This window comes from Homo sapiens, chromosome 1 (assembly GCF_000001405.40).
Source record: "Homo sapiens chromosome 1, GRCh38.p14 Primary Assembly".
Taxonomy (NCBI): Eukaryota; Metazoa; Chordata; class Mammalia; order Primates; family Hominidae; genus Homo; species Homo sapiens.
In genome coordinates, this window is record NC_000001.11 from 59,427,443 (window position 1) to 59,451,061 (window position 23,619).

A 23,619-nucleotide genomic window follows, 5' to 3' on the forward strand; every position below is an offset into this window, starting at 1 on the left:
GTTACCTTGCCGTCTCCTCCTCAGCTGAAATGACTCACATTGCTGTAGCTTAAATTTCAGTCCAGGCTCTCTGGACTCGGGGAATTTCTTTTTGCTCATGCTCCTGAGAACCAGAGTTCTCCAGGAACATCTGTAGTCTCTGTCTTCAATCAAAGCATTTGAGAGATGCTTTATTTTTCCCCTTTCCTCTGTACCTGTCACAGAAGGGGGCCTGTCTGAATAAGATGGCACATAATCTGCTGAGTGCAGCAACCCCTCTGTGCAGCCTTGAGGAAGAAGACAAGGCAGTCAAAGTACCTTCCATCATTTCCTGGAAAATGTGTCGGTAGCTTGGAGAGGCAGAGTGGGAGATGGAAGTAACACTGCATGAGGAGTTAGGTGGTCTATGTTCAGGGGCCAGGGTTGTCACTTACTAGATAGGGGACCTTTAGCCAGTCACTTAACTCCAATGGCCTTCTGCTTCATATCATCTCTTATGTAGGGTGGTGGGACTGGATTAAGGACAGCAGATAGATTAGCTGTCAGTCTTACTGATTGGAAGTTGCTGTCCAGAGTACAGTATGGGGGATGGCTGGGAAGCCCATCTCAGCTAAGTGAGAAAGAGCAGTCAACTATTGGTATTTGCCAAGTGTGTGACAGTGGCACATCTGCCTGCTATTATGAGACTTGATGGTCATTTCTGCCTCTGTGGTTTTATGATTCCAAGTGTCCTGCAAGTGATTCTAGAGGGATCATGAAACATTTTCTGGTCTTAATAATTACTCAGGGATCTATTAACAATGGTGAGGAACATACTCACAACCAGACTTTCATTGAGAGTTTACCATATGTATATTATATCACTTAACCCTCATCCTTACGGATAGGGAGGCTCAGGCTCATAGTGATTAAATGACTTGCCAAGGTCACTCAGCTAATAGGTGATGGAGCTGGAATTCAAACTCTGGTCTGTCTGCCTCCAGAACCGAAGCGCTGAACTGCCACCCTATACTACTTCCCAGTTGGAGAATACCTCAGTACAGTAATTAGATGCCAGTGTGTATGGCTTTGCCTATCAGTACACAGAAATCAGAAAGGTGATTGAGAGATTCATTAATGCCTCCTTGCCCAGTTCTTTTGAGCATATCTTATTTGAGAAAGGTGCACGTGACCTTGGGTCAGTTTGTCTAACTCTGTCAGTCTCAGTTATCTTATTTGAGAAATGGGGCTATAGCTTTTAAGTTAATAATCCAGATAAAACATCCTATAGTGCCCCAGATGTCAGTAGCACTCAGTACATGTTCATATTATGTTGCCCCAAGGTCACGTGGCTGGGAATTGAGCTGAGGACTGCCCACCTCCGAAGTCTATGATGGCACCTTTTGGTTTTGGTACAAGTGAGTCCTGAGTGGACCACATGGCAGCATTAGAGGTGCTTTTGAATACGAAAGGTGGCGTGAGGATCCCTCTCACTTATGTCTGTTCTGTTGTCCAGAACTTAGTGAAAATCCTGGTCCTTACCCGCTAGAGTGAAAAAGGAAGGAAACCTTACCATTCTTTCTGTGTACCTTTCTCTGGCTGGGGCTTTCTCTGGTCTAGGTGTGCTCAGCAAATATGACAAGTAGCAGGCCACTCATTTTGACCACGCCCATGTGGCAGACAGCTTTCTTCACTTTCACGCAAATGAAGTACAAGACAATCACATGTATGGCTGCACTGAATGTAAAAGATTAAAGAGAAGTGATATGCCAAATAGATGACTGGGAGTTGACGTTTAGCAAAGTAAATCTCTTGGTGGCCCTGGTAAAGTTAATTTCAATAATTCTGGTTTTTTTTTTCATCTTAGAAACTTAGAGGTTAAAAAATAATAAATATACATGAGGAGATTTAGAGTGTATGTGGAAACAGAGATCTTCGGAGGACAAGTGGGATATTTCTTTATAGAAAGAGTTTTCCCTCTTGATTTTTTTGCTTGGTAAGTTTCTTTCAAATCAACTCAATTCATTTGGTGCTATTGCTTTTCTTTTGTGAAAACGATTCTGGGGATTTGATCAAAACCGACATGAAAATACAACCCTCAAATGGTAAATATCAGGGAATCTGGAATTTGCATTTTCTAGGCTAAAGTAATTTACTGGCCAAGTTTGCTGTCTCCTCACTCCCCCAACACATGTACAACTCTTAAATCTCATTCCCCTTTAGGCTCCTTCTCTCTCAGTTTATTTCCAGCACACATGCATATGCATCCATGCATACACAGGTGTGCACATATGCATGTATACACACACACAGACACACGACACACACGTGACGCACATATTTTACTCTGTGCTAATAAATAGGCCAGTATTGGCTAGGCTGGGCCTCAGGACTGTCTGGTTTAAATCTAAGCTGCCTGGGAGATCTGGAGTAATAAGTGAGTGACAACAGGTGCAGATTTTGTTACACCCTTCTGAACTCAGCCCATAGTTCTTTCTTTGATTCTTTTCACCCAACACCCTTGCTTCAATTGTGTCCAATAAATTTTATAGCTGCATGATCCTGTTTCAGAGCTGAAGGGAGATTTTTCCCTCCACTTGGCTAAATGGTGCCTAAGTCAAAACACCACTTCCTGCCCCCTCCTCACACTTTAAGAAGTAATAAGGAATAAACCCCAGGCCATAAGCTGTTGCTGGGTCCTGTATCTTCAGTTTTGCATGTGAAGAGCTAATTTTCTGGTCCCATTTTAGAAAAGCCAAGAATTAACTTGCAGAGAATTAGCCATAATTGGGGAGAAAATAATTACTTGGCTTTTTCTGCCCTGTGATAACTGGAGCCACTGGCAAATCTTTCACAGCAGTGTCAACGCCTACTTCTGTTTAAAACAAAGTATTGCACCAGGGGCCTTGAAAGTCACATCTGAATGTTCTCTGTGGTACATTTTGGTCCAAACCACCCTGAATATTGGAGTTGGATTCATTTCATGTCTTTTTTGGTGTAAAATCCCGGTGCAGGGAGACATTTCATATTACACTGGAAGACATGAATGTCTTTTGCAGGTGTCAGGTATGCTCATGGGCCCTGCATGCATACTTAAGGTTGGGTCCAATTGGATTTTTTTAGGAGCAGTCTGTGGTCTAAGCTGAGAATTTTTTCTCATAAGGGCCCATTTTCCTCTAGCATTTTTCTGTTTTGAGACTTTGCCCAGCTGCCTCTATTCCCTAGTATGTAGACTTAATAAAAAATCTCTTGGTTCATAATAAACATGGAAAGGAGATGGTACACGTTTTCCATTTGCTAGTAGAGGTTTACCTGAATACAGTTGGTCATATATCTCAGTGTCGTCAGAGTACAACAAAATGTCATGCCTTCCCATGATTTCAGACACCACTCTTCAGTAATGACTTATCTGAATATCAGCCCTGTACCTCTCCTGAGCTCCAGCCTTAAGGGCACACTTTTCATTGGGTAGCCCTACCTGCTGACCCATAGACACCCTAGGCTCAACTCATTTTCCCTAAATAAATTTGCTTTTCTTTCTGTGTTTTCTATCATGGTAAAGGTGCTGTGATCCAATAACTCAAACAAGAAACCTTGATGGCATGCCTTCCATATCCATTACTGTTAGCTAAGTGGGGGACAATCTATATATTGCCTCAGATATCACTGGGATCCATTGCCCTCCTAACTAGGCTCCCTGGGTCCAGTCATCTTTGCCTTTCCTCCAACTTCTCCCCCATGTCACCTACCTCCTCTTTTCTCTACCCCCACCAAAACAGTACTTCATACATCCCTAGTATTGTCTTTAAATGTAAATCTGATATTATTTAACTATTTGAATTCTTTAGTAACATCCCACTGCTGGCAGGAAACAAGTCCTAACTTCCTAGTATAAGGAATATAAGGTCCAATGTGATCCAGCTGCTCCCTGACTCTCCAGTCTTACCTCCTGTCACACTACCATGGATCAAGCCCCATGGTTCCCTTTATTCTCTTTCAACTCTGTATTTTCGCATATGTGACTTTCTTCTGCTAGTAATGCCCTTTCTTAATTGGCCTGTACCTTTGACTCCTACACTTCTGTATTATTAGGCTATAGCACTAGATGTGGCTTAAATAAGTTAGATTATTTGTTTATCTGATAGTCCGGACGTAGATGCTTTCCATGAGATCATCCAGGAACCCAGGTAGCTTCTGCATTGGACTGTGCTTAACATGATGCCCCTTTCTGCATGATCCAAAGTGGCTTTCAACCACAGCTTCCTTCAAGGCAGCAAGATGGAGAATAGATGAAGAAGGAACACACCTTCTCCCTTTTGGTGCTGTGACTAATAAGAAATATATTTTTAGTTTCTGTTCCAGGTTTGTGACACAGAGCTCCTAAAAGCCTTGTAATTTCCAGAGTGATCAACATTCTAGGAGTATCTTTTGTTGTACTATTTAGACTTTGACTCTGGTTCCTAACAGAGCTTCTAAATCCCTTGGGGTTTCCTAAGCGATAGAGCATCTTTTGCTTTAATGAGGCGACTCTTGGGCTCCTGGATAACTTCAGAATGGGAGTTGGTCAGAATGGGACTTGGTCACTAGAAAGACCATGTGATGGATAGCAGCTCAGAATTTTCAGCCCTACTCCCCACATCCACCCAATCCACCAGGAGGGGAGAGAGGCTGGAGATTGAGTTAATAAGCAATCATGCCTGTGTGATGAATCATCCCTAAAAATCCCTGAAAGATGGGGTTTGGAGAGCTCCCGGGTTGGTGAACAAGTGGAGGTGCCTGGAGAGGGCATGAAAGCTCCCCACCCCTTCCCACATACCTTGCCCTATGTACCTCTTTGTCTGGCTGTTCATTTGTATTTGTATTCTTTATAATAAGCCAGTAAATTTAAGTAGAGTGTTTCCCTGAGTTTTGTGAGCCATTATAGCAAATTATCAAACCTGAAAAAAGGGGGTTATGGGAACCTCCAGTATGTAGCTGATCAGTCAGAAGTATGGAAGGCCTAGACTTTTGATTGGCATCTGAAATGGGAGCAGTCTTGGATTGAAGCCTTAACCTGTGTGATCTGCCCTTACTCCAGGTAGTTAGTTTAGAATTGAATTGTGGGACACCTGGTTGGTTTCTGAAGAGTTAGAGTATTGGTTAGTGTGGGAAAATCCCTCACACACGTGATGTAAAAATTGTCATGAGTATGCAGAAAAAAGTTTTTCCCCTTTAGTGGCAGTTTCCAGAGTTTGTAAATATCTCTGCTTCCCAATCTTTTGTGCCTCCTGTCTGTCTGGTACTCCACCTCTGTAGTAATGGCAGCAGCAGCAATTCTAGTAGTAGTCACAGTGGTGTTTCTCTAGTAGAAGCTGTAATAGTAGTAGGAAGAAGAGGTGTAGGAGTAGTATCAGTATCATAATTTCCCATTCCTAGTTTCAGAAGAGATTGAAAGGCTAAGTGACATGCCTGAGGTCACATAGTTAATAAGTAAACGGCAAAGCTATCGTTCTGACTGGGAGCTCTCTTACTTCAGAGCTCACCACTAGACTGTGGGTAGTTTTCAATCCAGTCACACTAAATGCCAGTTATTTCCTTACATGATTACCTCTCCCACAAGATTCAGAACTTCTTGAGGAAAAGGACATATCCAACTGACCTTTGTATCTGTAGAGCCTAGCTCCAAGGCTGGGCGTATCCATCAGTTTTAGACATTGAAATCAGGGTTTCTTAACCTTGGCACCATTGACATTTTGGGCCAGATAATTCTTTGTTGTGGGGCTGTCCCATTGTGCATGACAGGATGTGTGGCACCATCCCTGACTTCTACCCACTAGTTGCCAGTAGCACATATCCCCACCCGCAGCCAGATAAACCAAAAATATCTCCATGCATTGCCAGCTATCTGCTGGGAGACAAAATGTCCCTGATTAAGAACCACTGATTTAAATTAAATGAAGGCCAAGGAGCCTTGAGTAGTGTTCATATCCGAAAAGGGCATTTTCAGAATTGTTCAGGCTGCTGGATCTCTCAAAGATGATGATGTATTTTCCAGGCCTCATGTGTCTGGAGCACAGGTTGCCTGTGGTGGTGGCTGCAATGATCTCAGTGTGCCAGGCCTTCACGGGGAATACCAGAGAGGGTCCCTCTGGAGCAGCTCTTACTGGGTCATGGAGACCATCTGTCTGGCATGGTACCACCTGGCAAAATCTCTTTGCCTTAACCAAAAATATGCTTTTGTAAATTTCCTGGCAAAGCAGGGGCTGCATTCTGTTTCCTGATTTCTCTCTTTTATTTCCAGATGTGTCACTGGTGACACATAGAGCCCAATGAGAACTCTGTTGGAAACTCAAGTTTCTCATTCTTCGCCAGCTCCGTTGTCATGATTTTCCCACCGTCTAAGCCAGTGTAGGTTACGTTACCCACGTGCTGGTTAGTGCTTGGATGTCAGTTTTCCTTTTTAAATTCTAGATCTGTAGCATGCTTTAGGGAGGAAACTTTATGGCTTATTACACAAATGGAGTTAACCCTTCCCTGCTTTGCAGTGTTTTTGTTAGTGACAGAGACATGAATTCAAGATCTGCCATTTATTATTTGTTTCATTTTGGACAACATGCTTAGCTTCTTTGATCCTTGATTTGTTTACCTTCAAAACAGAGTAACCTACCTGTCCTGTCTACCTCCATGGGATTATTATTAAAACACAATAAGATAATCTGCTCAAAAGGCTTAAACTCCCTAGTATGATTTACTATCAGTATACCTTTTGCACCCAAGAAAACTCTACAGTATCATTGTTCATGGGCACCAAATTGTAAGTTCAGTTAAGGCAGACTTTGTGTCTTTTTCTGCCAGTTTCTAGGACCTAGAAGGTATTCAGTAAATATATGGTGAATGACAGTATGAAAAAAATTGGGAAGTCAGATTCTGTGGTTCATTGTACCAGTGGGGGCTGGAGGGAGGTAAGTGAATGGTTTGTGTGGCTTTGTGTCATTTGTATTTGTGACAGACATTCCAAGCAATAGCATTTTCAAGGGTTCACAAGTGAGTGCCTGCAGAGGCAGGACACACTTAACACTCTGGCAGATATGCGACAAGACAGGGTAGGGAGGGGCCCAAGGGAACTAGAGAGGGCATACCCAGCTGTCTTAGTCATTTTGGGCTGCTATTAAAAAATGCCATAGACTGGGTGGCTTATAAACAACGGAAATTATTTCTCACTGTTCTGGAGGCTAGGAAGTCCAAGATCCAGGCCCCAGTTTATTCCATGTCTGGTGAGGACTCACTTCCTGGTTCATAGGTAGCCATCTCCTCTGTGTCCTCAAAAGACGGGAGGAGTAAATGAGCTTTCTGGGATCCATTTTACAAGGGCCCTACTTCTTCATGACCTAATCACCTCCCAAAGCCCCCCCCACCTCCAAATACCATCACCTTGAGGATTAGGTTTCAACACAGGAATTTTGAGGGGGGGATACACACACTGTCTATATTGCCAACCTAAAGACATTCACAGTTACACATTTTGAAGTCTCTGCATCAGCTAAACAAAATATGTCTTTGGGCCAATTTAAGTCTTCAGACAAAAATTTACAACTCCTTATTGACAGAGTACCTAATATAAATACTGGGACAGATGCGGGGCAGATAAAGATGAGGTGCTCAGGATCCGGCAGCAGTGATAGACAGGAAATTAGTGAGACAATGAGAATATCCAAGATACATGGAGAGCTTAGCCCAGCACTGTCCAATGTCCTTTACAAATGACAACTTGTATTTAATCCTCACAACAGCCCAATGTGAGTTAGTGGATATTATGTCCCCTGTTTTATAATGAGGACCCTAAGGCACAAAGAGGTTGATATTTTGCCAGAGGCTTTGAAGCCAGTATCTGGGGAATAATAAAATGCAACGTGTATGTCCAATGACAAAGGAAACACAGAAGCCCCCTCTTAGATCTCACTACTTCTACTCCTGCCCCTCCAGCCCCTCCATTTGAAGATCCCTGAGGGATCTGAAAATGCAACTTTGATCGTGGCACAGACCAGTCCTGAGGTTGGTGCAGTGACATCCCCATGCCACAGAGGCCCTGTGCCTTCTGGACGCTGCCTCTCTTGCCAGCCTTGCCCGCCCCTCATGCTCTATGCTCCACTTCACTTGCCCAGACAGACAAGCACTTTGCCCCTTTGCAGCCACTCTCCCCTTTGCCTGTGTCTCCTTGTTATGCAGGGCCTTTCTTATTCCTCAGGCCTCAGATCAATGTCACCTCCTCAGAGTGGGCCTTTGCTGCCCACGCTGCCCAAAGATGGCCTACTGGGTCACTTTCTTCTTTGCCACTTGCTTATTTCCTTCCTCACGTGTGTGCCTGCGTGTGTGTGTGTGTGTGTGTGTGTGTGTGTGTGTGTGTGTGTATTTTCTGATGCCTCCACTTGACTGTAAGCTCCAGGAGTGCAAAGATTTTTGTCACGTTCACTGCTGCATCCCATTGCCTGAGACAGTGGCCAGCATGAAGGAGATACACGAGAAAGCAATGTGTGTGCACTGAGTGAGCGAGCACATGGGAGGAGCTGACTTCATGGGGCAGATTCAGTCAGAGAGACTGTGGCTGGCCTGGTGTCACATTGGTGAGAAGTGGCACAGTCGGGATTTGAACTGATCATGACAGCATCTCGCTTGAATCCCATCATTGCCTCCCTACCGCGCTCAGGTTGGACTCCCTGGTGTTTACCATGGACAATGAATCTTGATGTCTGGCCCCTGTAGCACTTCTAGCCTCTTCACCCTCAATTGTCTGCACATCCTCCCTTGCCCCTTTCTATCTGCACTGACTTCACCGTCCCTCAGTCACCCCACCTTCTTTCTTTCCCTGCTCTTCCTTATGTTCTCTTCCCACGGCAGGCACCCTCTGCCCTTCTGTTTCATGGGGCTGTCTCTTCATTGTCCCTGAAATTTGAACTTCAGTCCTCCTCCCCCCGCAAACTTCTTCCAAGCCCATGGACTAGACTAGAACCCCCTCAAGTGCCCCTCATTGCATTTATCATGGTTGTAACTCTATAGTTATTTTTGTAATTTATTGTCTTTTCTGGCTTTTCTGCCCATGGCCCCTACAACAACAGCATGTTCATCTCATTCTTCTTCTGCCCTGGCTCGTTAGGTAGGAGGTGCTTACATAAACGTTTGTCAAGGAAATGAATAAATGAATAAATAAATGAATAAATTGCTGGATGAATGAATGAGAGTAAGTGAATGAAGAGTTCCTGAATTTGCTTTTATGCCACCTCCCTTCTCTGGGAAATTTCACACAGGATAGGATTTCTCTGGCATAGAGCAACACTTCTCTTTGTAGATCTCAGCCTGTGCCTGGAGACTGGGTAAAGTTGAATGACGGGGTGCAGGAAGCCTTGTGTTGTCTTGTCACAACACAGGAAGGGAAAGTACTTTGGCTTTTACTGTTGTAAATAGGACTAAAAGTAGCTCTTCGGGGGTGATCTTTGTTTACCACTGCCTAAGGCCACTGTCCTTGGAGAAAGGTCAGGAGGTGGGTGTTTACAAGTTCTGTCCAAACTCTCCCATGACACTATGCCACAGGCCCTCATTTCCCTGACCCATTGTTAATTAGAGCAGAGGAGGAACTTCAGATGCTGAGTTTGTCTTTGAAGAAGGATCCAGACCCTAGGATGTCATCCTGGAGACTTTGCTCTTCCTTATCCTTCATACCTGGTCCTCCACCTTCCTGACAGTTTCTCTTCTTCCTCATGGTTATTGGGAGATAGAATGGGTGGCAGATTTTTATTGTTTCCTGAGGAGCCCTGTGCTTTAATTTCCATTATGTGTGAAGATGTCTGCCATGACCACCAGGTTGGGTGTTCTGCTAGATTGGTGTTTGGGAGCCAGTTGTAGACAGAGTCAACCAGAATATAAAAAGTGTGAGTGCAGAGATAAACCCACTCCTGCCCTATAACGACAGTAACAAAACTGGCCCAGTGGTAGAGCTCTCATCACAGGCCAGGCACTGCGCTAAGCACGCAGTCTGCACCCCTTTAGACTGGCCCATTCTCTGGAAAGTTTCAAACATACACATCAGCAAAGAGTATAATGAAATCCTGTGTACCCATTACGTGTAGGGGCTGAAAATGTATTTGCCTTGATCCTGCTTTCAAAGCAATGGGTCTAGTGACTGCTTTGGGGGAGGAGTTAGGGAAGTGCTTAACTCATATTAACACTGATATTATAAATTTACAGAATGCAGCTCGCTCTGGAGATTATATCTGGTTATATATGTGCACATATCAGTGATTGCTATAGTCCCCTGGTAAGGGGATATATATTTAACTTAAAATGTTCTGTTTGGAGTTTTTACATAAATGTCACTAAATACATGAATATTTCAGACCCCCTTCCCAGTCTAGAGTAGTATTGGGTTAAGGGAACTAACTGTTTTGAGGGAATCTGAGCCAATTTAGTCTGGCAGGAAAATCATGTAGTGAAGTAGTGAGGCCCACATGGCCTCTGACCAGTCAGGGAGAGATACTGAAGTTTTACAAGAGACCATTTAATGAGAGATTATCCATAAAACTTGATGCACAGATTTCAGGAGAAGTCTTTTTAGTACTTATGTGTGTGTGTGTATGTGAGTGTTTAAATGTGGCAGGCTAAAGTGAAGAAATACGACTGCTACTGATAGTAGCTATTGTTTATTGAGGGCCAGTATATGGGTCAGTTGCTGTGCCAGGAGGTCCTTTGACTACAGTCTATTCCTCACCAAGGCTTTTAGTTCATTGTTATTACCACCATTGTAGATGTGAGAACATGGAGAGTTTCAGAGAGTTGCCCAAGACTATTCACATAACAAGTGGCAGGGCTGGAATTTCAATCCAAGTTAGCCTGTTTGCAAAGCCTTTGCCCTTTCCATTAGACTACATAGCATCTTAAAATATTCTGGCTGCTTACTTGAGAGGTAAGTATCAGTTGGGAACTTACTCACTTCCTTCTTTGTTTCAATATACAACCCAGAATGCTTTACAAATTCTGCAGAATTAGCCAGTGCTCATGTTTAGGCATATCATAGATTTTTTAAAATGGCTAATGTTGCTGTTCCTCTCCTTGTGCTTTGGAAAAAATTTTCAGAGTCCGATACCTATTGTGACAACTTTTCTAAACACTCAAAGTGCCAAGTTCATCTTGTTAGCTGTTCTTCCACCAGGCAATCAAAACTCATGTTAGTTCCCTGTGGATTCATTATAGTCCCCGGGAAACCAAAAGTTTTGCCTGTGTTTGGCACATACCAGTTAATTGCCTAAATTGTAACTTCTGAGTATTAGGAATTATCTTAAAAACTAATACCAAAATTTGGTATGATGTATTTCAATTGAGGGGGAAAATATTTGGAAATGAATTTATTTTGACTCTGGGGTAATATCTTTTGCTTCACATTTAGAAATTTACATACTGGGTTACTTCCATGACCTAAAACAACTTCCAAGTTTTCTTATTTCCTCAGTACCCCTAGCTTTGTTCTGGATGAGGCCAGTCTCTGTTCCAACGCATGATTTAAATATACACGGTTCTGCATCTTTGTCTATAATGTTTATAATATTTACTATCTCATGAATTTTTTATATCTACTTCATAATCTACTCTCTCCCTCTATTTTTCCTTGCACTTGACAGCCCAACTGGATGTTGTCTCTTAATTCTTTGTCACTTCATGGCAGTTTATAATTCTTTAATGTTACTTATTATATTTCAGCTACACTGCAGTAATGGATGGGCCCATTTTCTCTCCTCCAGCGTACTGAATGGGACTGTGTCTTGTCTCCGTGTGCCTGACACCTTGCATGGAATTTGCACCTCATAGCCGCTCAATAGATTTTAATTAATTGAAATTTAAAAGGGAACTTGTGTGGTTTTGTTTAAACAAGACCATAAATTAGAAACAACTATTTTCATGAATTTGAAATTCCCAGAAACATTATTCTTTAATACTGTACTTTTGTCGAGACTGAAGAGTTTGGCTTTATAGTAAATGAAATGAATCACAGAATCATTGAACCAGAGTAACAACAATACTAATAAAAACACCAGAAATCATCTGTGTAATCCATTCCTCTCTCTTAATGCCAGACAGTTCCCCAGCCACCTTAAAATGATAGAACTCTCCTTTCCTTAAAGATCCTTTTAAAGAAGACTGTCATCTTTTCCCATTCCACATCATCATGTCTTCTAGCCCTACAAGTTAGGCAGCTTCTCCTCAGATGATCGAAACCCTCCCTTACTGAAATTTATGCTTATTGCTTTCATAAAGATGAAAAGCAGCTGCTTTTAACTGAAAATAGTTCTCTTCCTAAAGATGGTTATTCCATTATTCCATATCCTTCTCTTCCCTAGGCATAATTTTCCTTTCCATCTGACATTCCTTTTTGTTCTATATTTCCAAACCATTGAATACTACTCTCTCAACTTACGGTTTTTTGCCTAAGAAAACTTGGACTGGGTGTGATTAGTAAGTGATCGTTGATTTTAGATGTACTGAGAAATATGTCTCACACCATTAAAACTAGTCGATCCAGCCAGGCTGGTGGGTAACTGGAATACTGTGACCTCAAATGATATGTGGTGGTATCTTTTAAAGCCTGCCATCAACCATTCCCATCTCAGTTTCTCCAGTTGCTTAATTTATAAGACATAATTTATTTGTTATAAACTGCTTTGCAAGGTTCAAAAAAAAAAAAAAAAAACGGAAATGATACACAAGAGAATTAGATTGAATTTAGGCCATTTTTTCCCCCTCATATCTGGTTTTTAAATAAGCCCTAAGAGTGCTCTCAATTAGAAAAACACATGGTAATTCTAAAGGAGATAAAAAAGGAACATGTACACTCCAAGTGCACTTTTATCTTTTCATATTTAAGAAACCCCACAAAGCTCCTTCTTGCAAATTAAAGAGGATAGCAAGCAGGCAGCTTTCTTTCCTCATTTAGTTTAGCAAGCATATTGATTTACATTTGAGTAGGGGCCTCTGATCTCTTTTGTTTGTGGGTGGCTTTGTTTGTTTTTAATATGAACTCATTTAAAAACTAAGCTTATGGACTGAGTTGCAAAGGTAGAGCTTCAGTCCAACACTCAAAGTAGTCTTCCTATGCAAAAATAAAATAGATATTTATGTATGTGGTAGTAGGTCAAAGAAGACATCAGTGATAACTATTGATTCAGTAAATATTAAACATCTACTATGTGTCCTCCTTACTAGGAAGACTAAAATGTAGAATGTACCATCCTTGCATCTAGTGTGCAGTGTAGTATGGGAGAGAGAAATAATTTAGCAGGTGATCATAATGCAATAAATGCTATGATAGGAAGCAATTAAGGCACAGTGGAGGGGCGAATAACACACCTTTGGATGAATTCCCAGAGGAATTGACACCAGAAGGTGATTAGGATTTACCAAGGTTAAGAAAGGTGAAGGTGTTTCAGGAGTGCGTTACCAAGTACAGAAGTGAATGGAAGTGTGACCCATTCAAGATACTCTTGAGTTTGTTTCAGCCAGAGAACGGACAAACAAGGGAAAACTTAAGTACTCTATCCTGGGTTCCTCAGGATGCACACTTTAAGGACGTTTTGCGTTTTTCTCTGGTATTTATTTATTGAAGTTCTCAGAACCTCCACAGAGCTAATTTCTGTAGCCTTTTGTGCTCCCATAAAGCTTTATATATGTACCCACATTTAAAACTTTCTTACAATACTTTTTGCATTTCCTCCATATGTCTATTTTCCCATCTACTCTCTGAGCTAATCAAGGGAGAAGACCTAGTACTCACGTCTATCTATCTGCAGTGCCATGCTGAGTGCTTGCAGAAATGTGTTTGGGAATCAGTGCATCTCTCTATGAATGGCTAGAGCATTCTAAGTGGTTTTGCTTCTAACTGTGCAGGAGGGCACAGTTTGGGCCCAATATTGGTTTGCAAATTCAAGATAAGAACCAAGAATTTGATTCTTAACTCAATTTTATGTTGACTTGAGCAGGCTGAACTGGGTTGCTTATGCCATTATTTCATTTAGTTCGGATAATGGCTATCAAATTAGCTGACAACCCATCTCAGTTCCCTGTAGTATTCTTAGCAGTGTCTTAAAGTGGGTTTTCATTTGAACATTTCTTTATTATATTTTCTTTCTCAGAAGTAGCCAAGAGATGATGATGATGTTGATGCTGGGGAAAACAATGGTAACAAGAGCAGCTGCTTTTTATTGGGTATGTGCTATGTGAATTAACCCTGCACTTAACCTTTTAATGAATTTATGAGATAATTACTACTGTTACCTTCTTAACAGATGAAGAAAATGAAGAGCAAGGAGGATATCTTACTCACTAGTGAATGATGGCTTCACCATGTCTGATCCAAACTGTACTTTGTAATGCCTTCTTCATAGCAGCACTAAAATCTAAAAGTCTGGAAGAGTCTTTAGGAGATCAGTTATTCCATTTCACATCTGGGGGCAGGATTATGCTTGAACTGAATGCCTTGGTCCACTGCCTGAAATGTATCCTCTACAACCTTTGTCCACCTGGTGAACTCCTACTCATATTTCAGGACTCACAATTCAAGCTGCTACTCCCAAGTGAAGCTTCCTTAATATTCCCAGGTAGAGTTGCCCTCTTCCTCTGTTGTTCCTCTTAAATATCTTGTATTTCACTCATGAAATTCACCAATCATGCAGAGGGTATGTTTCTAGAGGCAGTTTGTATAGTTGTGAAAGGTATGGACTCTGCAGCTAATTGTTTGGGTTCCAACTCTAGCTCTACCCGTATTAGCTAAATAATATGGTGCTCTCTTCCCCTGACAGACTGTTAATCCCTTGAGGCCAGATAATATTTACAAGAATTTCTTAAATGGCTAAGTCACAAAATTGTCATGTTTTTTACCTTAATAGCAAGTCTGAATGTATCCTCCTTCTGAAGAGCTGATGTATTGTTTCTGCTGGTTTCTGCATCTTGATCCCTGAAAGATATTGAAAACCTAATTTTAAGGCCATTTTCCTGTTTGTTTGTTTTTGTTTTTGTTTTTGTTTTTGTTTTTGTTTTCCATTTCTGTTTCCTTTCCCTCTTTTCCTGTCCTTCCTTAGAGACAGGACATCTTGAAAGGTACGAAATCTTCAGGTCTGTACTTCTACTTCACCAACTTCCTTTTAATGTTTTTACCTCTTTGTCTTGTGTGGAAAATCTTAATCTGACTCTTTCTGCTTTGTGTCAAAGGGATACTGTTCATGTTAAAATTCTCAGCTCTGAGAGGTATGTGAGTAGGCCGTTCCTTGGGTGATGGGACAGTTGACATCATATCTGAGAAGAGCATCACCATGGTGCCCTTTACTTATGGCCGTTGTCATGATGACAGTCATAGCCACCTGGAGCACAGTGGCCTGACAAAGACAGGAATAGGAAGAGGGAAATAATTCGTCCAACACTTTTGTATTTTGCACAATGGGAAAAGAGTGGCATCATTTCTAGATCCTAAACCAAAATTGATAGAAAAAGAAGACTAGAATGATAAGATCTGCTAAATATTCTCAGGGGGTTGAAGTATCAAATATCTGCAGATGGTATCACTGAGCAAAATCAAGGAGAGCAGTTTAGGATTTTTAGTATGAGGGAAATGATAATGCTTTTCAGTACTTCTTAGAGTTGTCAGTGTCTCATAAAAGATAAAGAATATTTGTTGAGTGACCACAACTTGCTGGGTACTGGGCTACACTACAGTATAGTATAGTTATTACTGAGAATTTGTAGAGATAATCCTAGCTTATCAAGGAAATATTTGTTTTATAATTTGTTCAGGTGCTTATTTATATTGAAGAATATTCTCAAGTTAAGATGATTTTTTTAGATACTCCAGAGGCCAGAATTAATCATAAAGGGCCCTAATAGCCAAAAAGAATTGAAATGCACTAGGCCAATTGGCAGACACTATTTCAGTCTGCTCTCTTTCATCCTTTGCCAGGAATTGTACATTATCTCTTTAAGGCAGAGCAGCCTTGGATGACCATATATTAATATGATAACTTGCTTTTCCTTGCTCCCCACCCCCCAACTAGTGGCTTTAGAATAGCTTTGCTATTTTTCACTTATTTCTTGGCAGTAGCACTAGATCCCAGGCTTACCGATTATGCACACTTTAGATAACTTTGGGTCAGCTCAGTACTGAACAAATGGCAAGTCAGGAATGCCATTAAGACTGAAGAATGTTGGAAGATAAGGATTATATAGACACCACTGTCCTTATACACACTGTGTTGTCCTGTAATTGGATAGGCCAAAATGAGTTGACACTGGAAGAGGTATTTTAATATTGGAGCTTATAAAATGTTTAGAAATGTTTTCCTATCTGAGTCAGACTGAGATAGGTATGTATGTTTTCTGTCTCTTCTGAGTGACACTGGGAAATAGTTATGATTGGGAATAGGCCTTGGTACCAATAACCTCATATATACACTAGGGTAGACCTTGCAGAGGAAGCTGGCACCAGGGCATGGGACCGTGAAGCAAAGGGGTTCAGAAGAACTAGAGAGTGGTCCAATAATGAGTCTTCAGATGGCCAGAGGCAAAGGCTGAGATCAAGCCTCAGGTCCAAGAAGCCAGAATCATAAGCCTGAAATAATTGAGTGAGAAACCCAACATTACTAGAATGGAGAAGAGGCTAGGGGAAAGGCAGGAGCAAACCCAAGGGCTGGGGGTCTGAAGATGTTACCATCACAAGGCAGCCCCATTTTAATGGCCTCTAGCCACAGGGTTTGCCATTAAAAACTGTAGGAGTAGACAGATGCTTGATGGAAACCCTTGACCCCGGGTCTTTGCTCCCTTAATGAAGGAATCTAAGGCAAAGTAGAGATTCTTTTTTTAACATTTAAACTTTATTTTTAATTGACAGATAATAATTGTACATATTCATGGGGTACATAGCAAAGTTTCCATACATATAATGCATAGTGATCAGATTAATTAGCATATCCATCTCAAGCCTTTTTCATTTCTTCGTGTTGGGAATGTTTAATATCCTCTTTCTAGTGATGAGAAACTGTATAATACATTATTGTTAACTGTAGTCATCTTACAGTGGTATAGAACAGGGCTCCCCAACCCCATGGGGTTCTATACCACTGTAGGATGACTAGGGTTAACAATAATGTATTATACAGGTACTGGTCTGTAGCCTGTTAGGAATCTGGCTGCACAGCATGAGGTGGGCGGTGGGCTAGTGAGCATTACCACCTGAGCATCACCTCCTGTCAGATCAGCAGTGGCATTAGCTCCTCAAAGGAACAGGAACCCTATTGTGAACTGCGCATGCAAGGGATCTAAGTTGCACGCTCCTTATGAGAATCTAATGCCTGATGATCTGAGGTGGCACAGTTTCATCCCGGAACCTTCCTCCTCGCAACCCCCACCCATGGAAAAATTGTCATCCACAAAACTGGGTCCTGGTGCCCAAAAGGCTGGGGACCGCTGGTATAAAACAGAGTTTATTTCTCCTTATCTAGTTGTAATTGTGTATCCTTTAACAGATCTCTCCCTATCTTTTTACATGTCCTTTGATACCATAAGCTCTATGGACACCCTATAATATTTCTTCATTATACTTACCCTTCATAGTAATTACTAGAGTGAGCTCTTCATGGATTTTTCTCTTTTACTAGACTCTAAGCTCCACGAAGGAAGAGATAATATCTGTGCCTGGTACATAGTAAGAGCCTAATAAATATTTTTGGAAGGAGGGAGAGAAAGAGGGAGGAGGGAAATAAATGGCTCTTTTGCTCCTTTTCTTCATGCCAGGGCAACACTCAGCTTCTGAGGTATGCACAGCAAGGATCTTGCTGAGATGGGTGTGGCCACTTGCTTGCCTCACTTCCAGCCCTGGGCACATGCAGTTCTTTCTACCTGGTGCAGTCCTCTTCCTCCCTGCTCTGGCACTTGCCTCTGCTTCCACTTCTGCTGCTGCTTCTTTTTCTAGTCTCCTGCAGCCTAATCATCCTCTTGACACATTCTTTCTTTAACCATCTGAATGCCTTCAGTATGGTTCCTGTGAGCTCTGAATGTTCTGGAAGCCATTGTTTTGTTTTGATAATTTTGAATATTTTACTCTTGCTCATTATGGATTAACTTTACAGCTGAACTCTCAAAACCAGACTTCATTTTCCCAACTTGAGAGAACATCTCATTGTTGTCCCTGTGTCCTTGCCTATGGCACACATCTCCCGAACACCCTTTTTTACCAGAACATCCTCACAGCAAACCTAAGGCAGCTAACTGCTTTCTACAGCTCTGTGTTTCTTGACCTCTTCCATCTGTTTTATTTTCATATTTTTCCTTTGTTAAAAAAAGGAGATAACAGACAAGAAAAACACGAGAAATTAAATACCTCAAAATTACTGTACATTTTCACTTGGAGTAACCAGTCTTTGTAATGTTTTGTAAATATCTTTCCCTGAGTGGGCCTGAATAAGCATGTAGTTAACAAGCATGGACTTTTAATTGATCAGGGCAGGTTTTGAACTTCTGTCCTGCTCTTTCCTAATGATACAACCTCCAATGACTTAACTTCTGAGCCTCAGTATTCTCTTCTGTGAAATGGAAATACTAATAATAGTATCCTCACAAGTTTGTTGTGATATTCAGTAACCCACATAAAATTTCTATGCATAATGCCTGGCGTATAATAGGCACTAAGTAAGCTGTCACTTGTTTTCTTTACTTTCCTGCTTTCTCTCATATTGCCTCTAATTAGTACCGTCCTTATTTTTTAGGGGACAGATCCAAATCCGTGAATCCAGGGGCTTCATCACGATCTTGGAATATTTTGGTGGCAACTTTAAGATCTTTTGTTTTCTGACTCTTAGATCTCTTTCTTTTGGTGGCATGGGAAAATTCCCTCAACTCGATTATTTATTCAGTTCTTTCATGCTCCCCATATTGTCATGGCCACGTTTGAATCATGTTATCGGCAAGTCTGACCGAAAAAGCAATTTAATATTGCCCTGTGTTGCATCATTGCATATATTATTTCAGCCTGTCACGGGCCTGTCAGCAAGTCTTGATGAAGTACAGAGCCAATAGTAACAGGCCTGAAATCTGACAGCTCTTTAACAGAAGCTGCTCCGATTGGTGCAGTGGTATTTCTTCAGAAATTAAGGCCTTCTTGGTCTCTTTGTTGATACAATTAGCAATCCAATCTGAGTCATTTTATCTCCCAATGAGCTGTATCTTCAGGGCTGGTAATTCAGTCTGTTGCATGGCTTGGAAAAACAGAGCCATCAGAGGCCTGTGATGTACCAAAGGCTGCAGCCAGGAATATCTTGGTAATTTATCCCCACTCTCAGCTCTAATTATTCTGTTCTTCACTGGCTGGTTCGATTGAGACTCTCCAGGTTCAGCCTTCCCTAAGCAGAGAACAAAAGGTTTCCCTTGAAAGTTGGGGCCTGGCAATGTCAGTACAGTGAGCTGCGTATAAATAATGCAGCAGTGCCGGCTTCATTTTTATAAAATCTTGGTGGAGAAATGCATGAGAATGATCAGGCCCCTGGAACTCAGCAGGCATGTGCTTTTGATGTGCGCCTTGCTCTGAGTAAAAGCAGGAGAATAAAAAGTTCTTGTTTGTGCTGAGGCTACTTCATGGTCTCTGGCTCGGATTTTGGTGACCCTTTCGCTTTGTTTCTGATAGAGTCTGGAGGCTCCTACCTAACTAGGAAAACTCTGATATGTATATAGAGGGAAATACCTTCAGTAACTATTTTCTGATTGAAACTAAAGATGATGAAAATAAAGATGGTGATTATAGTAGCTTTACTTATATTAGCTTTACTTACATTCCCTCATTTTAATCTTCCTAAGGTTAGAGTTATCTGGCTAGGCTATTTTCTCTATACCTTCTGCTCTCCCAATTAGCCTTATATCTTTTCTTTTTTCTGGTCAGATTCCCCAAAAATAAATATTCAGGGTGTGAACCTAGCAGCCAAAGCTCTGGGAGCTGAGTCGGGGAAAGGAGCTTGAGGGCTGGCCTGCAAAAAAGCAGATACTGAATCAGTCTCTTTTTGTCAAGATACTCTACCCTTACCTGGACCTTTTATCGCACCCTATCTAAGGGTGGATGCTATGGTTTGGCTGTGTCCCCACCCAAGTCTCACCTTGAATTGTAGCTCTGGTAATTCCCATGTGTTATGGGAGGGACCCAGTGGGAGATAATTGAATCATGGGGCTGTTTCTCCTCCTGCTGTTCTTATGGTAGTGAATAAGTCTCACAAGATCAGATGGTTTTATAAGGGGGAAACCCCTTTCACTTGGTTCTCCTCCTCTCTTGTCTGCTGCCATATAAGACGTGCCTTTTACCTTCCACCATGATGGTGTGGCCTCCCCAGCCACGTGGAACCATGAGTTTATTAAACCTCTTTTTCTTTATAAATTACCCAGTCTCAGGTATGTCTTTATCAGCAGTGTGAAAATGGACTAATACATTGGACCTTAGTACTTTTCTTCCGTAGTGTGGGAGAAGTAGTACCCTGGTTGCTAATAGTGAGGTCACATGGGATCTAATTACTTCCTAAACATACTTTTTGTACCATCTGCTGTTTTTAGCCTCATTTTTATCCTCACTTTCAGGGGTGGTGAGCACCACCACCTCCTGAACTTTTTGGGTCTCTGTAGGGTAATCATTTTGCTTCTGGGTTTTTCCTGCTGCTATTTAGGTTTTACCTTTCTCAAGTCTACCAAGAGAGTTACTACTACCATGGTTTTTGGCTTTTAGATTTTCGATGCTGTCATCTTCTATCCTGTTCTCATTGTGGGTTTTTGCCTCTTTGAAACATTCTTGTACAACCATTTTGTTGGAATTTTTAAAGGGCACAGAGTTCAACACGTGTAGTCAATCTGGCATCTTTAATCAGAAGCCTCTTTTTGTTTTTGTACTTTTTGAAATAGGAAAGAAGGTCTGCTAGAGATCTGGCATGCATTTGTGTCTTGGGCAGTAGGTGGTGGGAGGAATGTGAGGTAGGCAAAACCAGGAGAGCATTGTTGGAAGGCTCTCCTGGTTCCATTGAGGTTAATGGTCTATGCAAGGAACCCAGTGTTCTGCTTCATGCACTCCAGGAGTCTAACTTTTGTCTCTTCTCCAGCCTGCATACAGAGCAGTATCTAAAGATCTAGGCTTTATAATAGAAGCCATTAAAAAATGATTAGGAACCTGAAAGCTTCCTTCTATAACTGAGATCTGAAGGTTTTTATTCATTCACTTAATTAACATGCATTGTGCTCTCAAAATTTGCCAGAGTAGCATTGTGCTTATTCATCCATATAACTGGATGAAAAAGGCAGATATGGACCCTGCTGTGGGAGGTTGTGGCCTGACCTTATATACTGAAATTTCCAGAAGGCCAGATAGAGCATCAAGAAATAAAATAAAATAATAACATTCTTTTATGATAATGAGATAGATCCTTCAGTGCCTCCTGGTCTTCCCCACTCATACACACTCATGCCTAAAATAGTCCACGGTTCTGGACTCCTTTAGTGGGCCAGATCCTTTCATCACCATGGGCTGCTGAGACCACTGGAATTTCAGGCAAACCTATAAAACAGGGGCAGCTTTAGGTGACCACATTCTGTCATGAATCCTTGATTTCATATACAGTTTTTGCATTACATGTTTGCTAGTCCTAGGCCAAAACAAAAGGAGAAAAGATCTAATTTTAGCTGAGTTCGAGTTGCCTTTCTAAAAATTATGATTTCTTCTTTATGAGTCTTTTTGGTGAATTGACCCTTTTCTCAATATGTAATGTACCTGTTTATTCCTGGTAACATTTCTTGTTCTGAAGTCTACTTTGATATTAATATAGCCACCTCAGCTTATTATTTGTATCTGCATGCCTTATCTATTTATTTATTTTTTGAGACTGAGTCTTGCTCTGTCCCCCAGGCTGGAGTGCAATGGCACAATCTCGGCTCACTGCAACCTCCACCTTCCAGGTTCAAGCAATTCTCCTGCCTCAGCCTCCTGAGTAGCTGATTACAGGCGCACACCACCACGCCCAACTAATTTTTTTTGTATTTTTAGTAGAGATGGGGTTTCACCATGTTGGTCAGGCTGGTCTCGAACTCCTGACCTTGTGATCCACCTGCCTCAGCCTCCCAAGGTGCTGGGATTATAGGCGTGAGCCACCACACCCAGCCTGCATGCCATATTTTTGCATCTTTTTACTCTTTATCTTGCATTTTTATATTGAAAATAAGTATTTTTTGTTTGTTTTGTTTTGTTTTGTTTTTATCCAGGCACTGCGACTCACCTCACACCTGTAATCCCAGCTACTCACAAAACTAAGGCAGGATGATTGCTTGAGGCCAGCAGATGGAGACCAGCCTCAGCAACATAGTGAGACCCCCATCTCTAAAAAATAAAAAAAAGAAAAAGTAATCTGGGCATGGTGGTGTGTGCTTATAGTCTCAGCTACTTAGGAGGCTCAGGTGGCAGGATTCCTTAAGCTCAGGAGTTAAAGGCTGCAGTCAGTCCTCATCATGCCACTGCACTCCAGCCTGTGTAACAGAGTGAGCTCTTCTCTAAAAAGTAGAATAAGTTTCTTTTAAACTCCATATAGTTGGGTTTTATTTTTATTCAGCTTTATTATCTCTGCCTTCGCACTGGAGATTTTAGGTCATTTACATTTATTGGTTGGGTTTTAATCTATTTTCTTTTTCTGTCTTCCATATATTCTATATAATTATTCCCTTTTCCTGTATTCTCCAGATTACTTAAATATTTGTTAGTATTCCATTTTATCTCTAAAAAGTTTTACCTCTTGCCAGTTTCTAATATGCGTCTTTCACTTATCACAGTCGACCTTAAAATAATTTTGATGCCTCATTATATATAATACACTTTCATATCTTCCTGTGATTTGTGCTATTATTCTCATATGATTTGTTCATGCATTGGATTGTATAAAGATTTAAATTCAATTTTTTTAAAGAAATTTATGTCTGTTGTATTTACTCACATATTTAGCAGTTCTGATACTCTTCATTCCTTTGTGTGTGTTCACATTTCCATTTGGTATCTTTAACCCATGTAGTTTCTGCATGAATTATAAAGTATTCTCCTTCTCCCTCCTCCTATATGAGTATACAGAATTGAGTTTGTTGATTGTATTAACACCCTTTAATTCCCCAGTAGTAATAATAATAGCTATTATTACTCTTATAGTTTACATGTCTCTTCACATTCTGAAAGTACAATCACATATTTAAATAGAATTGTCTTTTTTCAAATGCTTTTTAAATTTTAGAAGCTCTTGTTTCATATATTTCATACTACATTGTTTGGTTCATAAAATATTATGAATGGTAGTTTTCTTGGATTGAGCATTTTGTCATTATGAAATATTCTTCTTTTCCTTGTTAAATATTTTTGATCTTGATTCTACTTTGATACTTATATTGTCATTTAAAAATTTTTTTGTTTGTATTTGTTGTAGAACATTTTTGAAAGAAAACTGAATCACATTTTAAAAAATCTGAATTATAAACAAGGTATATAGCTTAATTTTAACCACAGTATGATTAATCTTATCTTTTAACTGGTTGTGGAATTCAGCCCATTCACATTTGATGAAATACTGAGATAATTGACCTTATTTGTTCCATCTTATTTTGTTT

At 41.0% G+C, this 23,619-nt stretch overlaps 1 protein-coding gene across 57 annotated transcripts in view; it reads left to right on the forward strand.

Annotated features, from left to right (window-relative positions):
• FGGY (FGGY carbohydrate kinase domain containing) overlaps window positions 1–23,619 on the forward strand; it is a 466,353-nt gene that overhangs the window by 131,065 nt on the left and 311,669 nt on the right. The window contains exon 1 of one of the 57 annotated variants that reach the window (XM_047424400.1): window positions 21–14,181. The exons of the other annotated variants lie outside the window; for them this stretch is intronic. The gene's annotated coding sequence lies outside the window, so the exon portion shown is untranslated. Of the gene's footprint in view, window positions 1–20; window positions 14,182–23,619 lie in introns of those variants that run through there. 57 annotated transcript variants of the gene reach the window in all.